The 20,614-nt window shown below is 41.3% G+C and overlaps 2 protein-coding genes and 1 long non-coding RNA gene across 6 annotated transcripts in view, besides 3 other annotated features; 1 reads left to right on the top strand and 2 right to left on the bottom strand.

Moving 5' to 3' along the window:
• LOC100131626 (uncharacterized) overlaps positions 1 to 20,614 on the top strand; it is a 37,596-nt gene that overhangs the window by 8,121 nt on the left and 8,861 nt on the right. The gene's annotated exons all lie outside the window — the stretch shown is intronic.
• Positions 848 to 9,089, bottom strand: ATP5MG (ATP synthase membrane subunit g). Of its 2 annotated transcripts, NR_033759.2 has the most exons (4): positions 8,978 to 9,089; positions 4,986 to 5,038; positions 3,598 to 3,758; positions 848 to 1,695 (listed from the first exon to the last, which is right to left on the bottom strand). NR_033759.2 is itself a non-coding variant. In NM_006476.5 (3 exons), the coding sequence occupies exons 1-3, from the start codon at positions 9,027 to 9,029 to the stop codon at positions 1,597 to 1,599; spliced, it is 312 nt and encodes a 103-aa protein (NP_006467.4). In that variant the 5' UTR covers positions 9,030 to 9,089; the 3' UTR covers positions 848 to 1,596. The 2 variants fall into 2 exon arrangements, 1 of the variants encoding a protein (NP_006467.4); NM_006476.5 differs by lacking the exon at positions 4,986 to 5,038.
• Positions 7,316 to 7,906: an enhancer, noted in NCBI's record as "H3K4me1 hESC enhancer chr11:118273504-118274094 (GRCh37/hg19 assembly coordinates)". NCBI's record gives its function as "activates a minimal SCP1, AML or CMV promoter by ChIP-STARR-seq in naive H9 embryonic stem cells {active_cell/tissue: H9 hESC(naive)}" and the evidence as "EXISTENCE:reporter gene assay evidence [ECO:0000049][PMID:30033119]".
• Positions 8,365 to 9,228: an enhancer, noted in NCBI's record as "H3K27ac hESC enhancer chr11:118272182-118273045 (GRCh37/hg19 assembly coordinates)". NCBI's record gives its function as "activates a minimal SCP1, AML or CMV promoter by ChIP-STARR-seq in primed H9 embryonic stem cells {active_cell/tissue: H9 hESC(primed)}" and the evidence as "EXISTENCE:reporter gene assay evidence [ECO:0000049][PMID:30033119]".
• Positions 9,349 to 9,428: an enhancer, noted in NCBI's record as "active region_5591". NCBI's record gives its function as "activates an Ori minimal core promoter by ATAC-STARR-seq in GM12878 lymphoblastoid cells {active_cell/tissue: GM12878}" and the evidence as "EXISTENCE:reporter gene assay evidence [ECO:0000049][PMID:35858748]".
• UBE4A (ubiquitination factor E4A) overlaps positions 11,484 to 20,614 on the bottom strand; it is a 39,612-nt gene continuing 30,481 nt past the window's right edge. For both annotated transcript variants that reach the window (NM_004788.4, NM_001204077.2), the window contains exons 18-20: positions 19,891 to 20,038; positions 17,800 to 17,957; positions 11,484 to 14,381 (exon numbers count right to left, since the gene is read on the bottom strand). In NM_004788.4, the coding sequence (NP_004779.2) occupies positions 14,255 to 14,381; positions 17,800 to 17,957; positions 19,891 to 20,038 (433 nt within the window). In that variant the 3' untranslated portion in view covers positions 11,484 to 14,254. The remainder of the gene's footprint in view (positions 14,382 to 17,799; positions 17,958 to 19,890; positions 20,039 to 20,614) is intronic.

Here is a 20,614-nt window from a genome sequence, read left to right as displayed (position 1 = left end):
TCAACAGTTCTGTTAGAAGATATTTGGGGTTGATGAGGACAAAAAAAAAAAAAAAAAAAAAGAGAAACAAGCCTGGTGAAGTCAAGTGGCCACTTCAAGGAGCTCACTGCTATTTTAACCTAAGAAAATTCCGTACATGCACTATTAGCCACAGGGGAGACCAGAGGTGTTGTGTATGGCAAAGCAGGAGGAAGTTGCAGTGAAGTGAGTAGTAAATGTTTATTTTGAGGACCTTCTGGTGTGACCGTGGCGTTAAAAACAATCACATTACATATCATTAATCAACTAGGTGTCTGTAGGTTTTAACTAGTACTAGCTGATCTCCTACCTTGTTTTTTTCTGGTTAATTTGAATAATCATGCACTGTATGAAAAAGAAACTGATTGCCTTTCTCATATCAGTCTTTTTGAGTACTTTTTGAAAAGAGGTCATTTCAGTTTTGACCACCTGTTTATTGCAGGAGTAAGTTAGGCATTACTTCACATTTTAGCAGCGTGGCAGTCTCTATGGAGACTTTCTTGCCTATCACTTAGATAAGCTGTGACGTTTATTAGGCTAAAATAGCAGTGTTCTAAATGCAGTGGGTAAATTTGGGATTGACCGGATAAAGGTTCAACACTATTAAAGGATTAATACTGTATTGTGAGCCATAATGCTTTTGTAATAAATATGCAACCACCTTTTGGTTATCATCAGTTGGTATTGCATGTTTTGCTGTGGCTGCAAGAATAACAGTGGATTTAGGAAAGTACCAATGAGTCAATTAAGGATTCTAAGATCCCGGGGAAAAGCTAAGGAATGATCAATCTCTCCTATATACCCAATAAAATCGCTCCAGAAGACAGACTATAGCAATCATTTCATTTATTTCAGGATATAATATACTATTTAGATCCAGGGAAGATGCTAAATTATAACCTTGTTTAAATATCTTTGGGGTATTTTGTTTTTGCAAAGGTAGTAAAACCAGACAAACGAATAACACACATAAAAATCAGATTTCACATGTATGGCTCTGTCCTACTGCTAAAGATGTTACAAAGAAACATACTTAGAATACCACCCTGTTCTCTCTTGGGGAGGCTATATTCAAGATGACAAGTACTCTAACATTTTTACAGACATAGATGTTGTCAATAGGGTCTTTCTGTGATTTTAGCAAAGAAAACAGTTGAAATGTTATTCTAACTACTGACATGATTCATCTCTATCACTTTGGCATATGGTACTACTATTTCTTCTACTTTGGCAAGTTATAGTTTTCCCAAGACCTAACCCTCACTGTTCTGGAAATAAAGCTTAAATATATATATTCCAAACCTTCAAATTAAAATGTTATCCCCATATATTCATGTACCAGGTTAATATTGCCACATATATCCTTTCCAATTGCGGGCTAAACAGACGTGTATTTAGGGTTGTTTAAAGACAACCCAGCTTAATATCAAGAGAAATTGTGACCTTTCATGGAGTATCTGATGGAGAAAACACTGAGTTTTGACAAATCTTATTTTATTCAGATAGCAGTCTGATCACACATGGTCCAACAACACTCAAATAATAAATCAAATATAATCAGATGTTAAAGATTGGTCTTCAAACATCATAGCCAATGATGCCCCGCTTGCCTATAATCTCTCCGACATAAAACCACATCAACACCTCAGTGGCCACCAAACCATTCAGCACAGCTTCCTGAAAAAAGAAGCATACATTTTAAGGTACCTTTTATATATATATATAATTATATATATATATATATATTTGAAACTATTCTTTTCCAGAATTAAGGAGACAAAGAACATAAAAGATGCTATTCAAACTAGAAGGCAGTTTTAGTCAAAGTTGAGAATTACTAACATTACTTCTCTTCAACTGCTGAGAACCCTTGAACTTTCAATTTTGTAAGGTAAGTAGTCAAAGCTTATATAAATTCTTTCAAAGCATTCTTTAAAGACCTGAACTGACTTAACCCTTTCATTATAAGTTTATGAGACACTTTATGAGCCCTAAAACAATCCACATCCTGGATATAGCTGGCGCATTTAGATAGGATGGCTATAGGAAGGCCGAGTCTCTGAATAGACATTTTTGTCTGGCAAAAGAAAATCTGCTGAAAGATGAAGTGCTGTCTTCCCCTTTAGACCTCATTTTTATTCATTCAGTATTTGACTTAACTCTGACTAAGTATCTGGTATTCATATCAACATTTTGTTGTCCCAAAGAGAAATATGCACATATGGCTCAGGAAAGCACTGTTATTAATACATGGAGCAATAATATGGATCTTGAAATTCTAGTTGAAAAAATAACTTTCCATAACAAAACTGGACCTTTTCCTTTTAGCACTTCTGGAAGTGAATTTTCCCCATCAAATTAGACCAGAAATTTATGGAAGTCTTCTGAAAAACAACCACACTTCCCAGGATGTAGGCTCTAAAACTAGCAATTGTTTAGGCTTTTTGTACTCTGTGCTTGGATCATGCAAATAAAATCCAAGTTCCAGTTCTTTTCTTTCCTTTTTCTTTTTTTTGAGATGGAGTCTCGCTCTGTCACCCAGGCTGGAGTGCAGTGGCGCGATCTCGGCTCACTGCAAGCTCCGCCTCCCAGGTTCTTGCCATTCTCCTGCCTCAGCCTCCCAAGTAGCTGGGACTACAGGCTTCCGCCACCACGCCCGGCTAAGTTTTTGTATTTTTAGTAGAGATGGGGTTTCACCGTGTTAGCCAGGATGGTCTTGATCTCCTGACCTCGTGATCTGCCCGCCTCGGCCTCCCAAAGTGCTGGGATTACAGGCGTGAGCCACTGCGCCCAGCCTTTTTTCCTTTTTTTAAGAGATAGGGTCTTACTCTGTCACCCAGGCAGTGACACAATCAGAGCTCACTGCCTCCTCTAACTCCTGGGCTCAAGCGATCCTCTCGCCTCAGCCTCCCAAGTAGTTGGGACTACAGGTACATGCCACCACACCTGGCAATTTTTTTTCACTTTTTTGGATAGAGATAGGGCCTTGCTATGTTGTCCAGGCTGGTCTTGAACTTCTGGCCTCAAGCGATCCTCCTACTTTGGCCTCCCAAAGTACTGGGATTACAGGCAGGAAGTGACTGCGTATGGCTGCAAGTTCTAATTCTTACAGTTTTTAGATTTTATCTTCACACAATTCAATAACCCAGTTTGGTATTTTTATCTTATATATAAGAAGTGTTAGCTTCCTGACTGTGACATAGTTCAAGAGATGTTTTGGCTGAATTGGGGACAATCTCAGGACTCCAGATGAAAAAAGTACAGACTCAGCAAAGCAAGCCATCATATTTTAGTATACTATCTAATATAGGAAAGGAAAAAAAATTTCCCAATAAAAATGGTCACTTTTTTGCTAGGTTTAAGACTCTTAGGAAACTAAGACATAAAATGGGCTAATTATTTCTACCCAGGTGACAAAATTAGAAAAGTAAGTATCTTCCTCAGCAGTCAAAATTTTTTTCCTCATTATGCTGGATTCAGCCTCATTGGAAACATATATATTAATCAAAACAATCAGAAAAATCCCAAGGGAAGACATTTTCTGTTATGCACATCCGTTTTCATTTAGCCCGTGGTTACCTTAACTGTGAGCTGTTTGAAGCTACCAGTCTGAGCACTATTGACTATTTTTTTCAGGCTCTGAATAGCTCTAGGGATCTCAGCAGGGGTGGGAGGAACCAGCTCAACCTTGGCGTAGTACCAAAATGTGGCCAATCGAGGCTTCGAGTAAGTCACAGCAGCTGGAAAACAAAACAAAACAAAACAAAAAACCAGGATGAACTCACTAGAGACCGAAAGAAGCAGATGTGTGGGCTGGACACAAATATTTATTCATGCATCACCTTCATTCACTGCTTGTACCAAATGTGCACCCGGTGTGAAAAGTCAAAGCTGCTCCCTGGTAACAAGAGGCTTTTAAAGATGCAGAACACCTGTGCCACAGGGATGTTCAATCAGGCAGGATGCTATAAGCACATTCAATTATGCCAGTACTTCACTAGTGGCCAGCTAGTACTGTACTTCATTTATGAATGGCAAATCTAGCTAACTGTAAAGATGCTAGGAATTGGATTTAAAAACAAGAGAACAGTCAATTTATTCATATTTTCTTGGAGAGAGACCAGCAAATTTGAAGAAAGAGGTGAAGAAAGGGATGAAGGATTTAGAATGGCACTCTTAAGAACAAGATGAAAAGTTATCATAATATTATCCACAAATCCAGATGGAATTAAAACAACTGGTACCCATTTTGGTATCCTCATCAATATGTGCTGGATTAAATGTTTCTCTGACAAAAGCACAGCTGCTCCTCTTTTAAAGGCACCACAAATAATAAAAGTAAAATCTACATGTATAGTTAAGAAGAGCCAAAACTAGAATCTATTACCAAGCTGGAATTCCTCAAGGTATTTACTATTTCAAGAGAAGAGATCATTAACAACCAGGGTAGTTGTGAGACTGCAGTAGTGATTTCAGAAAGAGGAAGACATTTTTTATTTAAAAAATTATAAGAGAGGCTAAGTGCAGTGGTCATGCCTGTAAACCCAGCACTTTGGGAGGCTGAGGCGGGCAGATCACTTGTGGCCAGGAATTTGAGACCAGCCTGCCCAGCATGGTGAAACCCTGTCTCTACTAAAACTACAAAAATTAGCTGGGCATGGTGGTGTGTGCCGGTAGTCCCAGCTACTCGGGAGGCCGAGGCACAAGAATTGCTTGAACACGGGAGCCAGAGGTTGCAGTGAGCCAAGATCTCACCATGACATTCCAGTCTGGGGGACAGAATGAGACTCTGTTTCAAAAATTACAAGAGAAACGTAATAAAAATAGCATGAAAGCCCATAAAGTGTCTACTGTTCAAAGACAGATTACCCAAGGCTCTTGGTGTTTTCCTCATATTAACGGCCTCCATTTGAGTATTTCTGAATTACTATCTCCCTCATCTTCTGTGTTTGGGGATATGGGCATACCTTTAAGCAGACACAAAGCTCTAAGAGATAGTTCCAAACAGAACTGCCAATGCCTGAAAGATGGGACAATAAAAAAAAAGCACAATCTTGTATAAGTCAATCAATTGTCAATATTATCTCCAACACACAGACATTTCATCCTTAAAAAAAAAATGAATCAGTATACTGTACATAAACAATATTTTAGGTGGTAAATTTGTTTCTTAGGGGATACAGGTTAGAGTTTGAAACTGCTTTACATGTATACAAGAGATAAAACATAATGAATGGTAGATAATGGGAGCTAGATTTCTCAGTGGAGGTTGAGTGATGTTACAGGTAAACAAGAAAAGCAGCAAGAATAAATCCCACAGTACTGGGTTAGAGTTGGACTCAGGTTTAGCTTAATATATACACAGACTGACAGACACAGAAATAATTATATATACATATATGCATGTATATACATGGCTTAGTATGCATGTATATACACATACACACATCTATACTGATACATATCTATATTCCTGTCAAATGAGAGGACCTAGAAGTAGTGATATTCTGGTAGCAAGGAACATAAACAGCACCCAGACCTTAGTTTCTCAATTCTATTGTCCAATAAAAGGAACTAAGGTTCCTTGGAGAAATGGCTGATTCTAGGGCTGGGACAGGGAAAATACAATATAAATCTGAAGCATCTTGTAGTATCAGAAAGGGAGGCGGTATGTCAAAGGGACAGAGGTGCTAACCTGAAAGAGCTCCCAAATAGCCAAGGCTGAAATAATTTGAGCAATAATACAGTATTTGATACAGAAAGTATGAAATCAATGTACAAGTCCATACAATAAGTGACTGGATAAATAAATGGAGAAGAGACAAATCTTTCTCACAGAAAAATTCTATTTATGTAGATATTCCCTCCTACAGGGGATGGAATCCCCCCACTGTAATCACACCTTGCCTTTATGGGATAGGCTTAGTTATTTGCTTCTATAGAATAGAACACGGAGAGAAAAACAGTAACTTTACAGTAGAGGAACCTATAACCAAGTGATGAAAGCTTGTATCACCAGAGATGTCACAGGAATATCATATACCTCCTGACATGTGATTAGGGCATCTCTTCACTGTGGTATTTCCTCAAAATCCATAGTGCCAAACTAAGCATGAGAAAAACACCAGACAAATCCAGATTGAGGAAATTCTTCAGGATACCTAGACAGATACTTTGACAAGACAGATACCTAGACAGACAAGATACCTAGATACCTTAAAACTGTCAAGGTCAGGAAAGATGAGGGAAGACTGGGAAACTGTCCCAGACCAGAGGAGATTGGGAAGACATAGAAACTAAATGCAATGTGGTACACTGGATTGGATCCCGGAACTGAAAGATTATTGGAAAAACTATTGAAATACAAATAAAGTCTACAGTTAAGGGAAAAAAAAATCAGATTCTATGATCTTCCTAGGCAAACCTGATGATAAATTTACTTATTTCCATAAGCTTTTTTGACCCCCAGGGGAATTAACAGATATAGTCAGTAATTTTTATTAAATATTTAACATTCACATTTAATACACTAGCCTATGTATGTTATAAAGCAAAATGTATTTCCACGTTAACATTCCAGCCCAGTTGAGTCCTCCTTTCTAAGTACTTTTGGAAGAATAACAAGTTATCTTTCAATTATTTACAACGGAGGGAAGGGTTCATATTATATATTTCATAACAAAAAAATTACCTTGGTGTTACTTTTCTTTTTAGATCACAAAAATTAGTTTGCAATTCCTTAATATGCGCCACCTAAAAAATGTGAAAGCCACACCAGAAAAAAAATCCACTTGAAATATTAAGAATTGTGCCTTAAATCACCCACAAAGTCCAGAGTGAAGCCTCTAATCCTTTTTTCTCTTTAGTTTTTTTTTTTTTTTTTTTTAGACGGAGTCTCGCTCTGTCGCCAGGCTGGAGTGCAGTGGCGCAATCTTGGCTCACTGCAACCTCCGCCTCCTGGGTTAAAGAGATTTTCCTGCCTCAGCTTCCCGAGTAGCTGGGATTATAGGCGCCTGCCACCATGCCCGGCTAATTTCTGTTTTAGTAGAGACGAGGTTTCACCATATTAGTGAGGCTGGTGTCTAACTCCTGACCTCAGGTAATCCACCTGCCTTGGCCTCCCAAAGTGCTGGGATTACAGGCGTGAGCCACAGTGTCCAGCATTATTATTTTTTTTTTTTGAGACCTAGCCTCGCTTCGTCGCCCAGGCTGGAATGCAGTGGTGCAATCCTGACTCACTGCAACCTCCGCCTCCGGGGTTCAAGCGATTCTCCTGCCTCAGCCTCCCAAGTAGCTGCGATTACAGACATGCACCACCAAGCCTGCCTAATTTTTGTATTTTTTGTAGAGATGGGGTTTCACTATGTTGGCCAGGCTGGTCTCGAACTCCTGCCCTCAAGTGATCTGCCCGCCTTGGCCTCCCAAAGTGCTGAGATTACAGGCGTAAGCTACCGCCGCAGGGCCATCTCTTTTGATTTATATAAAATTGTAGAGCTCTATGACAGGTATCTTAACAATCTTAGTAAAGTAAAAGATTTTCTTGCAAGCTTATGAAATTATTTGGGAAAATGTGTAAAATGTTTCACTAGTAGGCTGTGAGGTTCTGCAGGACAGCCTTCAATAACTCATAGTTTGGCTGGTGATGGAGGGAAGGGAGGAGAGAATGGATAAATTACCCGGCTGGCGCTGTGGCTCACACCTGTAACTCTGGCACTTTAGGAGACCGAGGCGGGAGGATCCCTTGAGCCCAGGAGTTAAGAGACTAGCCTGGGCAACATGGTGAAATCCCGTCTCTTAAAACATACAAAAATTAGCTGGGTGTGGTGGTGCGTGCCTGTGATCCCAGCTACTCAGGAGGCTGAGGTGGGAGGATCGCTTGAGCCTAGGAGGTGGAGGCTGCAGTGAGCTGTGATCTGCACTGCACTCCAGCCTGGGCGACAGAGTGAGTCCCTGTCTTCTAGGAAAAAAAAAAAAAAAAAAGAAAGAAAGAAAAAGAAAATACCCAAACCAAACTCAAACACAGCAAAATAGGCTAGAAAGTATTACATTTTTTTTGAAGTTCTGCTTTCTATTCACATTTCATAAACGTAGGCAAAAGTTAAGAGATCCGACCTTCAGTCACTTACTGGAATACAGCACATCTAGGAAAAACTTACGTCAATTTAGCTTATCTCACTTCAGGAATAAAATGAATAGCTTGCCACTGAGAAGACAACTGAAATATTTACTGGCCAAATAAACTAGTACTCAGAGGCTGTGATTATTCAGGGTTGTTGTGAAATACAGCGGTCTACCAGTGAGGCTCTTCAAGCTGAAAAAATTCCACGAATGCTAAGCTTCGTAACAAAGATTATTGTTTATACGGATCCCGTCCTATGCTTCTCGGGGCATGGATACTCATCCATGAAGTCCATTTCCACCTAAAATTTCCCTCGGATTAAAGCGGAAGTATCTTAGAATCCGTCTAGGACAGAAAGCAAAGTCAACGTTCAAAAAAGCTCACCCATCCTTAAACATTTCTGTTGACTTCCAAATACTCCACTGAGAACAACACCACATGTAATGAGGCCGAATTGATTTACTTTCACGTTTCTGCCCTTCCTTTTCTTAGCTCTCCTAACAGAACCATCCCCTCTAGATCCCTGCTCTTAGCGATCTCAGGGGGCGTAATGGTTGCAGCTGCCGGGCAACGCCGGGCTTCCTTCACACTACCTCTCTTCCCAGTCGTGGTTAGAATTCAGGAACTTCTAGGTTGTGTAGAGAACCCAATCTGCAGGTCAGACGAGTGGAAGGCTAGAAAAGAGTCGCCAACCTGCTTCCTGCTCCCTCCACCTGCAGGCCATCCCGCCCCGGCACCCGCAGGCCCCTCGGGTCTTCGCAGCCCGCTTCTTCCTCTCAGGCCATCGCAGGCCTCCCTGCCGCCCGTGTGCCCGCCTCGGCGGTCTCACATCGCGCTCACCGTTCACCAGCGCCGGGGTCTTCTCCACAAGGTTACGGACAAATTGGGCCATGGTTCTGGAATGGAGAGTCCGTCGCCCCGAACCGCCGGCTGAATGTCACCCGCCGGAAGGACCCGCTGCAGGACCCCGTCCCACTTCCAAGGTCAGGCCGCCTCTTTTCGCGCCGGTCGAAGATACTTAAATGTCCAAAGATCTTTGCAGAATCCAGCCTGTCAATTTAATTTTTCAACATGGAAGAGAAAGTGGATATGAAAAGATGGTATTAGAGAGCATGTGAAGAACAGTAGGATTCCGCAGAGAAGCAGGCATTTTGTGGGGCAGCCACTCGTAGAGGTCCGGAAAACCGGCAAGGAGCGGAAATGCGCATGCGCCCTGAACCTGCAGTGCTTTTCTTGGCGCCGACCTCCGCTATTTTGCGTAGGGTGCTTTCGCCGCGATTCTGAGAACCTTTGAAGTCAGTACTGGAGAAGGATTCGCTGAGATTCTTCTAGTCCAACACGATCGTTGTACAGAGGTAGAGAGGGTCCAAGGCCAAACATATAAAGTTAGGGGCCGAGCAATCACCACACAGGCTGTCACCAGGCTCAACCCATAGCCCTTTTTATTTGAGACAGTCTCGCTCTGTCGCCCAGGCTGAAGTGCAGTGGCACGACTTCGGCTCACTGCAACCTCTGTCCCCCGGGTTCCAGCGATTGTTGTGCCTCAGTCTCCCTAGTAGATGGGACTACAGGCGCCCGCCACCACGCCTGGCTAATTTTTGTACTTTTAGTAGAGACGGTGTTTCACCATGTTGGCCAGGCTGGTCTCGAACTCCTAGCTTCAAGTGATCCACCCGCCTTGGTGCTGGGATTACAGGCGTGAATCACCGCGCCTGGCCCCATAGCCCTTTTAAAGTTGATTTTTTGTAATCCCAATCTCCCCAAAGTGCTGTATCACGATTGGAATCCATTTCCCCTAATTCCCTAGTTAACCACAAGGAGCTGTGCAGATGTGAGGAAAAAATCACCTGTATTGAACGCCCACACTATGCCAGGCATTTTGGAATTTAAAGAAAGCCTGTAAGGCATTGTCCCCATTGAGACTGGGCTTGAAAAATGGCCACACAGTTTGGAAGTGGCAGAGTTGAGATCTGAAGTTGCAATGTATACTCAGAGAGGGGGCATTCCATCAGATTAGGCATGGTGCTGATTTCAGCATACTTCCTAGAAAAGATCCTTGAGCCGATGTGTAAGAGAACAGCTGTATACTACAGAGGGCTGAAACTTCATAGTTTAATATGAGGAGGAAAAGATGTATGTAGGGAAGTGGCATTTGATGAGAGGAACAGAACTATAAGTAATGTAACCTGGGGAAGTCTGAGCAGAAGTAAATCTCCGATTTTTGGAATGGTTAGAGAGATGGAAAGAAAAATTAGAAGTGTAATCAAGGAACTAAGAACTTTTCAATGAAGGAGTGATTCTGCTGCCCTAGATACTGCAGAAAAGTCAAATTAAGGATGGGAAAGTTAATTTAGCAATATGGCAATCTTTAACTAACTAGCGCCTTTTCAAAAAATTAGGATAGAATCCAGGGTGAATGGTGAAGAAATATGGCTGTAAAGGATTACAAGTCAGAAAACCAAAGGGGGATGTGGAACTCAGGGGAGAAATTGAAGACAGAGAAGAGGCAGTCATTTATTTATTTAGAGATGGGGTCTTGCCACATTGCCCAGGCTGGCCTGAAACTCCTGGCCTCAAGAGATCATCCCACTTCAGCCTCTTGCTTAGCTCTGGGATTACAGGCACAGGCCATCCTGCCTGATAAAAAGGGATATTGACAAGAGCCCTGATGAGGCAGGAAAAGAGAACTAGCCAGGGATCTATGGGGCCTTTTCCACAGATGTGATTATGGGAGAGAGGTCTGAAAGTCTTCAAAGTCTCTGAAGTCTTTATCTTCCCAGCAAAATGAAGGCAAAGTCATCGGACTGTGAGGGGTCAATGGGAGGGGGGTATGAGAAGGAATTTGAGGAAGGAGGCCAAAGTTTGGAATAGCTGAAGGACACACAGAAGGGTTGTTGGGCAACGTTAGAGATAAGTTTGTGGTTGTACCATTCTAAAAATTGTGTTTTTCCTCCAACAATGGTCTGCAGTTTGGATATTACAGCAGAGGGGAATGGCTGAGTTAATCTAGGCTGACATCTTGCATGGCAGGGGTATGGAAACAAGGAGCAAGAAAGGGGAAGATAACAGCAAATGATTACAAAGACCTGGGGTTCAGGCCAGATAAAGAAAAACAGTGAAGCCAAAAGAGAGCTGGTTAGGAAAACCATACTGTGAGATTCATCTCCTGAGGGTAACCCCAGGGTCCCCTCCAGAGGCCTGGTAAGGCAGGCTGGGTCAGCCAGGTCACACATATTTGATGTTACTTACCTAAAAAAAAAGTGAAACGTCAGAATCCTCTAAGTTTTCAGGGGGATTTCTGAAACTGCCACTAGCTTTTAATACTGGAATAAAGTGATAACAAAGGTTGTAAGTCAGATGTTCATTTATTAAATACAAGTTTTGAACAAACACTGCCAGGCAAGTTTGACAAGAAGTAACCTTCCTGGAATGTTTCAAAATACAGTCGCGTTGATCAAGTTTTATTTCAATCAACCTTTTCATTTTCTGTTTCTAGGTTCATTTCCTGTTGAGCAGTTAGAGCATGTGCATTATTTCCTCACATGACATCAACAGTGCAGCATCAGCCTCTGGCATGTAAAGGCACCCAGTAGACTTATGCTCTGTGCAATGGCTGCTTAGCAACCACCATCAAATAAAGTAATGAAGCTTTTGTAGAGTGTGATATCAAATAGCAACTGGCACCTTCACTTGCACCATTAAAAAACCTTTAACATTTCCTTCAGTTTTCACATATCCATTAAAAAGTATATTAAAAAACAAAACCCAGACTGCTTGATAAAACATACTTAAACAATTTTCCAAGTTTAGTATTAGCCTCTTGGTAAGTTATGAGCAATACCAGAGCTGAGTAAAAGAGTCTTCATTTTGCTATCATACTCCAGCAAAGCCAATACACAAAACTAGGTATGTTAGAAAGTCTGCTCTACTAGATTTAGAGCTGCTTCTAAGTTCCAGACAAAACACCTTTTTAAGCTTCCAAGTGTATATACACACGGTGTTGTACCAAGATAACTTTTTAAAGTCTAATTTTTTTGGATATTCTTAAATTACTTCACAGAAAGAAAAAAGGCACAGAGGACACTTGGTTTCCTTACCAGTAGTGGCCTTAAGCTACACACTTGCTTGTGCAGAGTTTAAAGATATTCAGCAGCATTAATGGTGCCATAGCCATTCATAAAAAGTTTCAGGAAAAGAGTTTAAAAAAAGAAGAAAAGCTTGCCAGAAAAGGCTTACAATCTGAAGGTTAAATACAGAAGAATACAGACAAAGACTGGAGGCAGCATGGGGGTTGTTAACTAGGAAGCTGCTGGGAATAGCTGCCTTCTGAGTTTTTGTGCCCATTTTCCTCCAGTTTTCTCCTGAAAAACTCTGGTCTTTTCCCCTCGTTTTTAAAATGAGAACATCCTACTAGATTGGGTTTGGAAGATAAATGCAAATAGGCAGAAGCTTATTTTATACATAGTTCATTCTCAGAGAGGGAAAGGAGGATGATAAATATTGAATGAAGCTAATTTTAGAAAATAAACAAATCCTGTCAACCCATGCCATAAAGGCCCAGGGAGCACACTGAATGAATCTTACATTCTGGCATTTGCAAAAGTGTCCTCAATTTCCTTTTTCATTTTATAAGCACAGCAATAGGCAACACCTATTTTATATCTAGGATGGGAAGCCCTCTTAGATTTGAGGCTTTCCAGCTGATGCAATCAAAAACCCATCAAGGACTGCTTATAGCAACTTGTGTTGAAATATAAAACTACTATTTATTTGAAAGAGACCATAGTTAATAACATGTTCCAAATGAAGCAGTGACACCCATTTCTTGATCCTATCACTTTTCTTGTCACTTATGACATCTCTGGGCTTAGAAAGACAGTGATATAAAGATAATCCATAGGGGAATGTCCCTAGTCAGCATATTAAGCTGCACAATTGAGTAGTGAGCTCAAGTTCACTTATGAAAGTGGTGTCCACCTACCAACTACACAGGGCTAAGTGGATATTTAAAATGGCTGTGGACAAGGTTGTGCTCAACTTCCTACTTTGTTAATTGAAGACCTAAGGCTGTGTTAGAAGTAGCTCTTAGAAGTCAGGTCACAAGCTCAAACAAATATTAACTATATACATTTTATAATCTCAGAATTTTGTGAAGAATGAGTATGTTAGTAAACATGGCCACATACTGCATACATCTCACTATGGAAGAGAAAATATAAAGTGGTACTCAGTTTACACTAAACCAACAAAAAAGCACATGGGGTGTATGTGTATTTATATATCTCACACACTGAGATATACTGTTGATATTAGTGTCTTAAAATGACATTTTTCATGGATATGATACCCGTTGCCTAAATCTACTTAGGCCTAGTCCTTGTAGAAACAGATTTTCATAAGAGAATAAGGGCCCAACAGTCTCCTCACCCCCATCAATTGGTAGGATTGCCCTACCAATCCTCATTAAAAAGACTGTATAACAAAATTAAGAGCTATCAACAGAAGTTGCACAAGATTCCTTTAAATTCCTTTTTTAAAAAAAATTCTCGTCTATCATCTTATTCAGAAGTCTACACAAACTTAAAGGTATCTGCTTTTATGTGAAGTTACTCTGTAACACAGAAAAGGGGTTAAGTCTAGATCATGAGGACTAGTAAATACACAGGATAACAGGATTTTTCTGATAACATCAGCTGTCACTGAAATATGTGACATCACATATTTATAAAAGCAGCACTCACCAAAAATGTTTGAACAGTAATTGGAAGAGAAATAGCAGGGTGGCGGGAAGTTTTAGTAGTTGAAATAATATAATTTCATTTAGGAAAAGGAAGAAGAATATGAAGAGACAACAGAGGGTGAAAATTAGTGATGATTTCTAAACTTGGTGATGCTATAATAAGTATAATTTCCTGCAAGCCAGGGGAGCATTGTCAAGTTCTTAGGAATCTTAACTATCATAATTTCAGCAAGAGCAGTTCTCTAATTTAGTAAAAAAAAAAAAAAAAAAGAAAAAGAAAAGAAGAAAGAAAAGGAACAGAACCAGAAAGAGAGAAACCACAAACAATTGTTTATCTGCACTCTGGGGTTGGTTTTGGTTTGGTTAGTTCACAGTATCTATTCAAGTTGCTCCTTTTGTTGTTTCCTCTCTGCAAGCCACCGTTGGATTTTTTCTTTTAGTTCTGTGTTTGGCCGGATCTGGTCCATGGTGAGGGGACTACGGTTAAAGGGATCTGTTTGGTCACTGGGACAAAGAGAGAAAGGGAAATAGGGTTATTTCCATAAGTTCTAACATTCTAAGCCAAAAACAGAACACCTGGGCGTCGCATCTTAAGAATGAAGCCAGAGTGCATTATAACTTTGAGTCAAATGCCGAGTTGGGGTTAGAAAGAGTGAGAACAAGATGATTCAGGAGTTTTTGTAGCTACTTTGTCTATTTCTTTCTTTCTTTTTTTTTTTTTTTTGGAGACAGTCTTGCCCTGTCGCCCAGGCTGGTGCAGTGGCACCCAGGATGGAGTGCAGTGGCGTTATCTCTGCTCACTGCAACCTCTGCCTCCTGGGTGAAAGCTATTCTCTGACCTCAGCCTCCCAAGTAGCTGGGATTACAGGCCTGCACCATGACACTCAGCTAATTTTTGTATTTTCAGTAGAAACAGAGTTTCACCATGTTGGCCAGGCTGCTCTCAAACTCCTGGCCTCAAGTGATCCACCAGCCTTGGCCTCCCAAAGTGCGCTGGGATTACAGGCGTGAGCCACCCACCTGGCCTCTATTTCTTAATAAACTTTGTCTCAACACTGCTGTTCAGATGATATTTAATTACAGTGGCTTAAAAAATGCTATGCTTCTGTCACCTTTAGATTTCTCTAAGGCAGAGACACTATACATTCATGTCAGTGTAAAGAACTATTTGTAATTATAGTGACAGATTCTTAGAACAGTATGAGATGTTAAGGAATAAAGCCTTGTAGACCAACATTTGATTTAGTCAGCTGATTGTTATGCAAGTACATGCAGATTATGGTTTCTTGAAACATAAGAAGGTTTATGACAGATGTCAATCTTTTGGCTTCCCAGGCCACATTGGAAGAACTGTCTTGGCCTATACATAAGTTCTTGTAATGTTTTAAGAAACGTTATGAATTTTTGTTGGGCCACATTTCGAGCGATATAGTGAATGCTTAATACCAAATACCAAGAGGTAGAAAATTCTTTTTTTTTTTTTTTTCTGAGATGGAGTCTTGTTCTGTTGCCCTGGCTGGAGTTGCAGTGGCGTGATCTTGGCTGACTGCAACCTTTGCCTCCCAGGATCAAGGGATTCTCCTGCCTCAGCCTCCCGAGTAGCTGGGACTACAGGCACGTGCTATCATGCCCAGCTAATTTTTGTATTTTTAGTAGAGATGGGGTTTCACCATGTTGACCAGGCTGGTCTTAAACTCCTGACCTCAGGGTGATCCACCTGCCTTGGCCTCCCAAAGTGCTGGGATTACAGGCGTAAGCCACTGCACCTGGCCAAAAATTCATCTTTTTAATATTTAAAAATTTCCTTAACTTTGGGTCAAAGTATACCACATGTATCTATCTGTTTATTTAGAGACGGTGTCTTGCTCTGCTGCCCAGGCAGGAGTGCAGTGCTGCCATCATAACTCAGTGCAGCCTTGAATTCCTGTGCTCAAGCGATCTGCCTCAGCCTCCTGAGTAGCTAGGACTACAGGCATGTGCCATTATACTTGGCTAATTAAAAATAATTTTTTGTAGAGATATAACTTAATTTTTTTTTTTTTTTTGAGACGAGTCTCGCTCTGTCACCCAGACTGGAGTGCGGTGGTGTGATCTTGGCTCACTGCAACCTCTGCCTCCCAGGTTCCAGTGATTCTCCTGCCTCAGCCTCCCAAATAGCTGGGATTACAACAGGCATGTGTCACCACTCCCGGCTAATTTTTGTATTTTTAGTAGAGACGGGGTTTCACCATGTTGGCCAGGCTGGTCTCGAACTCCTGATCTCAAGTGATCCACCTGCTTCAGCCTCCCAAAGTGCTGGGATTACAGACGTGAGCCACTGTGCCTGGCTCGATATAACTTAATTTTAAATATGGAGAGGCCAAACAAGGTGGCTATGCCTGTAATCCCAGCACTTTGGGAGGCTGATGTGAGTGGACTGCTTGAGCCCAGGAGTTTGAGACTGGCCTGGGTAACATGGAGAGACCCCTTCTCTACAAAAAATACAAAAATAAATAAGCCAGGAACAGTGGTGCATGGCCTGTGGTCCCAGTTACTTGGTGAGGCTGAGATGGGAGGGTTGCTTGAGCCTGGGAGGGTGAGGCCACAGTAAGCTGAGATCATGCCACTGCACTCCAGCCTGGTGACAGAGCAAGACCCTGTCTCAAAAAAATAGATAAATAAATATATAAATAGGCAGAGTCTCTCAGTACTCATTTCTTTCTAATGCCGGACTAAAAAAAGTTAAGGGGCCCATTAAGCAGCTAATAAGCTACCATTTATTGCTTCATTCCTGTCTTTTCTATAGTTATAATGGGGCAGACTGTCCGAAGAATAGGCAGGCTGGGGAAAGTTCATGGTTACCACAGCTGATACAACAACAGCAACAGAACGTGAGTTAATCCACATGGTGAATATAGTGTAAAACCTGAATTAGAAAAAGCAGGCTGGGTGAGGTGGCTCATGCCTATAATCCCAGCACTTTGGGAGGCTGAGGTGGGAGGATCACTTGAAATCAGGAGTTTAAGACCAGCCTGGCCAATATGGTGAAACCTCATCTCTATTACAAATACAAAAATTAGCCAGATGTGGTGGTGCTCACCTGTAGTCTCAGCTATTCGGGAGGCTGAGGCTGAAGAATCACTTGATCCTGGGAGGCGGAGCTTGCAGTGAGCTGAGATCGCGCCACTGCACTCTAGCCTTGGTGACAGAGCGAGACTCTGTCGCAAAAATAAAAAAACAGGCCAGGCACAGTGGCTCACACCCGTAATCCCAGTACTTTGGGAGGCTGAGGCGGTTGGATCGCTTGAACCCAGGAGTTCAAGACCAGCCTGGGCAACATGGTGAAACCCTGTCTCTACAAAAAATACAAAAATTAGTTGGGCGTGTTAGTGCATGCCTGTAGTCCCAGTTACTCCAGAGGCTGAGGTAGGAGGATCACCTGAGCCCAGGCTGGAGTGCAGTGGTGCGATCTCGGCTCATTGCAACCTCTGCCTCCTGGGTTCAAGCAATTCTTCTGCCTCAGCCTCCTGAGTAGCTCAGACTACATGTGCGCACCACCATGCCCCTCTAATTTTTTGTATTTTAGTAGAGACGGGGTTTTACCATGTTGGCCAGGCTGGTCTCAAACTCCTGACCTCAAGTGATCCACCTGCCTCGGCCTCCCAAAGTGCTGGGATTACAGGCATGAGCCACTGCACCCGGCCAGAAATTATTTTCTTAAGGCAGGAAGAGGTGAGGTTAGAGTTAGCATTTCTCAACAGAATGTTTTGTTTTGAAATGTTTATATCCTAGCAATTGAAACCAAAATGTCTTCCAACATATCAGTAAATCAATAATATGTGGTATGTGTTGGGTGCAAAGTACTGTCTTAGGTGCCTGGGAGAAAAAGATAGCAAACTAATATATATATATGCTCTTGAGTCTGTTTTTGGGACTGGCCTACCTGAGCAAATGTCTTGCAATGGTGGATCTATCCACAGTGACTCTGGAAGATGGCAGCACCACAGGGTCACACATCAGTGTGCTCATAATGGGATCCAGGAACTCATCACAGGCATCTGCATAGGTTTCCTCTTCCTGTTGTTGGAGGTCTGCAAGAGACTGAGTATACAACATCTGGTAGTTAAAGTGAATTCACAGTGTAGCTGAATTCAGCGTGCTCAATGACAGAGCAAGACTCCATCTCAAAAATAAAAAAACAGGTCATTAATAACCCTTGACAGTGACAGTGACACACGTGAGCTTCATTTTCTCAAAAACAAGCCAAGATATTCTAAGAACAAATTAAGCATTGAGCCCCAACTCTGGACCTTTAGGTTGGCTCAGCTGCTGGCAGTCATACTGGAAATGGGTTTAAATGTTAGGAGGAAAAGAAATACATCAGATATAACATCCATCTGGCAACAGTTCTGTTGTAAATGCCATAATTCAAAAGTGGATGGAGAAGGGAGAATGGAGGAGGGTATTATTTGCATAATTAGAGTCACTCATGCAGCCTGCGTATGAAAAGCAGTTTTTGATTTTTGATACAAACAGGTATAGGAATTTTAAAGTCATTTTGACATTTAATTCCTTCACAACTTGAGTTCCTCAGGGATCCACCTGGCTAAGCTCTAAACAAAGATGAAGTCCAACTCAATAAAAAAGAAACTCAATAGAGGGAAGACTGACAGCAATAAGGAAGGTTTTCTATTAGACTTTTGTGCCATGATCTTCCTTCTTCTTACCTGCTAATAGAGCTCTGTCATACTCTAACCAAAGGGATTTAGCTAAATACAATATAGTATTTTAATCTTTAAAATGTATGCATATTCCAATAAAAGCCAACTACCAACTACAAACATAGAGACAATCCAAATAAAAATTAATGACTGAAAACTACTCATCTTTTTTTTTTTCTAAAAAGTTATTCTGCATTAACACCCTAGCTTTTAAAATCTATTGGTAACACTGTGCATAAACGTTTTCATAAAAACATCTTACATAAATGTGCACATTCTTCTCTTCTAGTTGAGGTTTCTTAAATTTTTTTTTTTTTCTTTTTTGAGATGGAGTCTCGCTCTTTTGCCCAGGCGGGAGTGCAGTGGCACTATCTTGGCTCACTGCAAGCTCTGCTTCCTGGGTTCACGCCATTCTCCTGCCTCAGTCTCCTGAGTAGCTGGGACTACAGGTGCCTGCCACCACGCCCGGCTAATTTTTTGTATTTTTAGTAGAGATGGGGTTTCACCGTGTTAGCCAGGATGGTCGCTATCTCCTGACCTTGTGATCTGCCCGCCTCGACCTCCCAAAGTGCTAGGATTACAGGCGTGAGCCACCGCGCCTGGCCCTTAAATTTCTTTTTTCTTTTTTTTTTTTTGAGATGGAATCTCGCTCTGTTGCCCAGGCTGGAGTGCAGTGGTTGCGATCACTGCAACCTCCGCCTCCCAGGTTCAAGCGATTCTCCTGCCTCAGCCTCCCGAGTAGCTGGGATTACAGGCGCCTGCCACCACACCCAGCTAATTTTTGTATTTTTAGTAGAGACAGGGTTTCACCATGCTGGCCAGGCTGGTGTTGAACTCCTGACCTCAAGTGATCTGCCCACCCTGGCTTCCCAAAATGCTGGGATTACAAGCATGAGCCACTACTGTACCCAGCCGATTTCTTAAATTTCTATTCTCACTCTCATGTTGACAAGAATAAAACTAAGAATATTGTAGTTCTAAGTGACTGTCCAAAAAGAACCATCTGTTTATATTTTCTCTTGGTAATGCTCTTTTTCTCCCTGAAATAGAGTAAAAATCAGCACAGCTGAGGTGACAATCTGATTTTTTTTGCATGGATTTTTAGGAGATGGGGTCTTGCTATCTTGCCAAGGCTGGAGTGTAGTGGCTATCCACAGGCATGATCATAGCACACTGCAGCTTCAAACTCCTGGGCTTAAGTGATCCTCTAGCCTTAGGCTCTTAAGTAGCTGGGACTACAGGCTTGAGCCATCATGCCTGGCTGACAACGTGGTTCTTAATGAAATCAGCAAACAATTCCTCCTCTTCCTCACCTTGATTCTCTCTGCCAAGTTGCTGAAAGCCATAATCATATTCCCAGGCTTATTTATTTTCTTCAAGACTCGAACTGTCTGTGCAAAGAGAGTTGGGGAATAGGAACGTCCATCCTTGGGCACAGTGGCACAGAAATTCTCCTCATCCCTGGAACATTAGCATCAGAAAAAAACTGATCACCAGAGGGTTGGTCAATGGAAGAGACAATAGGTAGGCTGCAGAACAAGCATTCTCACCACTTAAAAGCCATGAACATTCTTTTGATATAGAAAGACTTATTTCAATATATATTATTTATAATATATAAATATTATTTTATTATTTATTATTTATAATAATAAAATATAATATATATTTTATTATAATTATATAAAATTATATTATATAAAATATAATAATAAATTATAAATAATATATATTAAATATATTATATATTTAATATATATACTTTTTGATACAGAAAGACTTTCTAGGAAGTCTATCAAGTATCATGTGACCTTAAAAGAATGCTACTTTTCTAAACAGTGGTACAACCAGTAAAGTTTCTCTTTGCACAGATCAAAGCAGAATACTGGAAATCTCAATGTCCCATGGGTCACACAAAATCTTACTAGTTTTTAGAGACAGAGTCCTGCTGTGTTGCCCAGGCTGGTCTCAAACTCCTGGCCTTAAGCAATCCTCCCACTTCAGCCTCCCAAGTAGCTTGGACCACAGGCACACGAC

This window comes from Homo sapiens, chromosome 11 (genome assembly GCF_000001405.40).
Source record: "Homo sapiens chromosome 11, GRCh38.p14 Primary Assembly".
Taxonomy (NCBI): domain Eukaryota; kingdom Metazoa; phylum Chordata; class Mammalia; order Primates; family Hominidae; genus Homo; species Homo sapiens.
Note: the sequence above shows the minus strand (reverse complement) of the source record. Positions and strands in the feature narration are given on the sequence as shown.

Excerpts from the sequence above, each read along its gene's own strand:
- ATP5MG (NM_006476.5), bottom strand. The coding sequence starts at position 9,029 with ATGGCCCAATTTGTCCGTAACCTTGTGGAGAAGACCCCGGCGCTGGTG. Across the intron at positions 3,759-8,977 it reads GACCCCGGCGCTGGTGAACG|CTGCTGTGACTTACTCGAAG; the intron begins GTGAGCGCGATG and ends TTTGTTTTCCAG. Across the intron at positions 1,696-3,597 it reads TCAAACAGCTCACAGTTAAG|GAAGCTGTGCTGAATGGTTT; the intron begins GTAACCACGGGC and ends TTCTTTTTTCAG.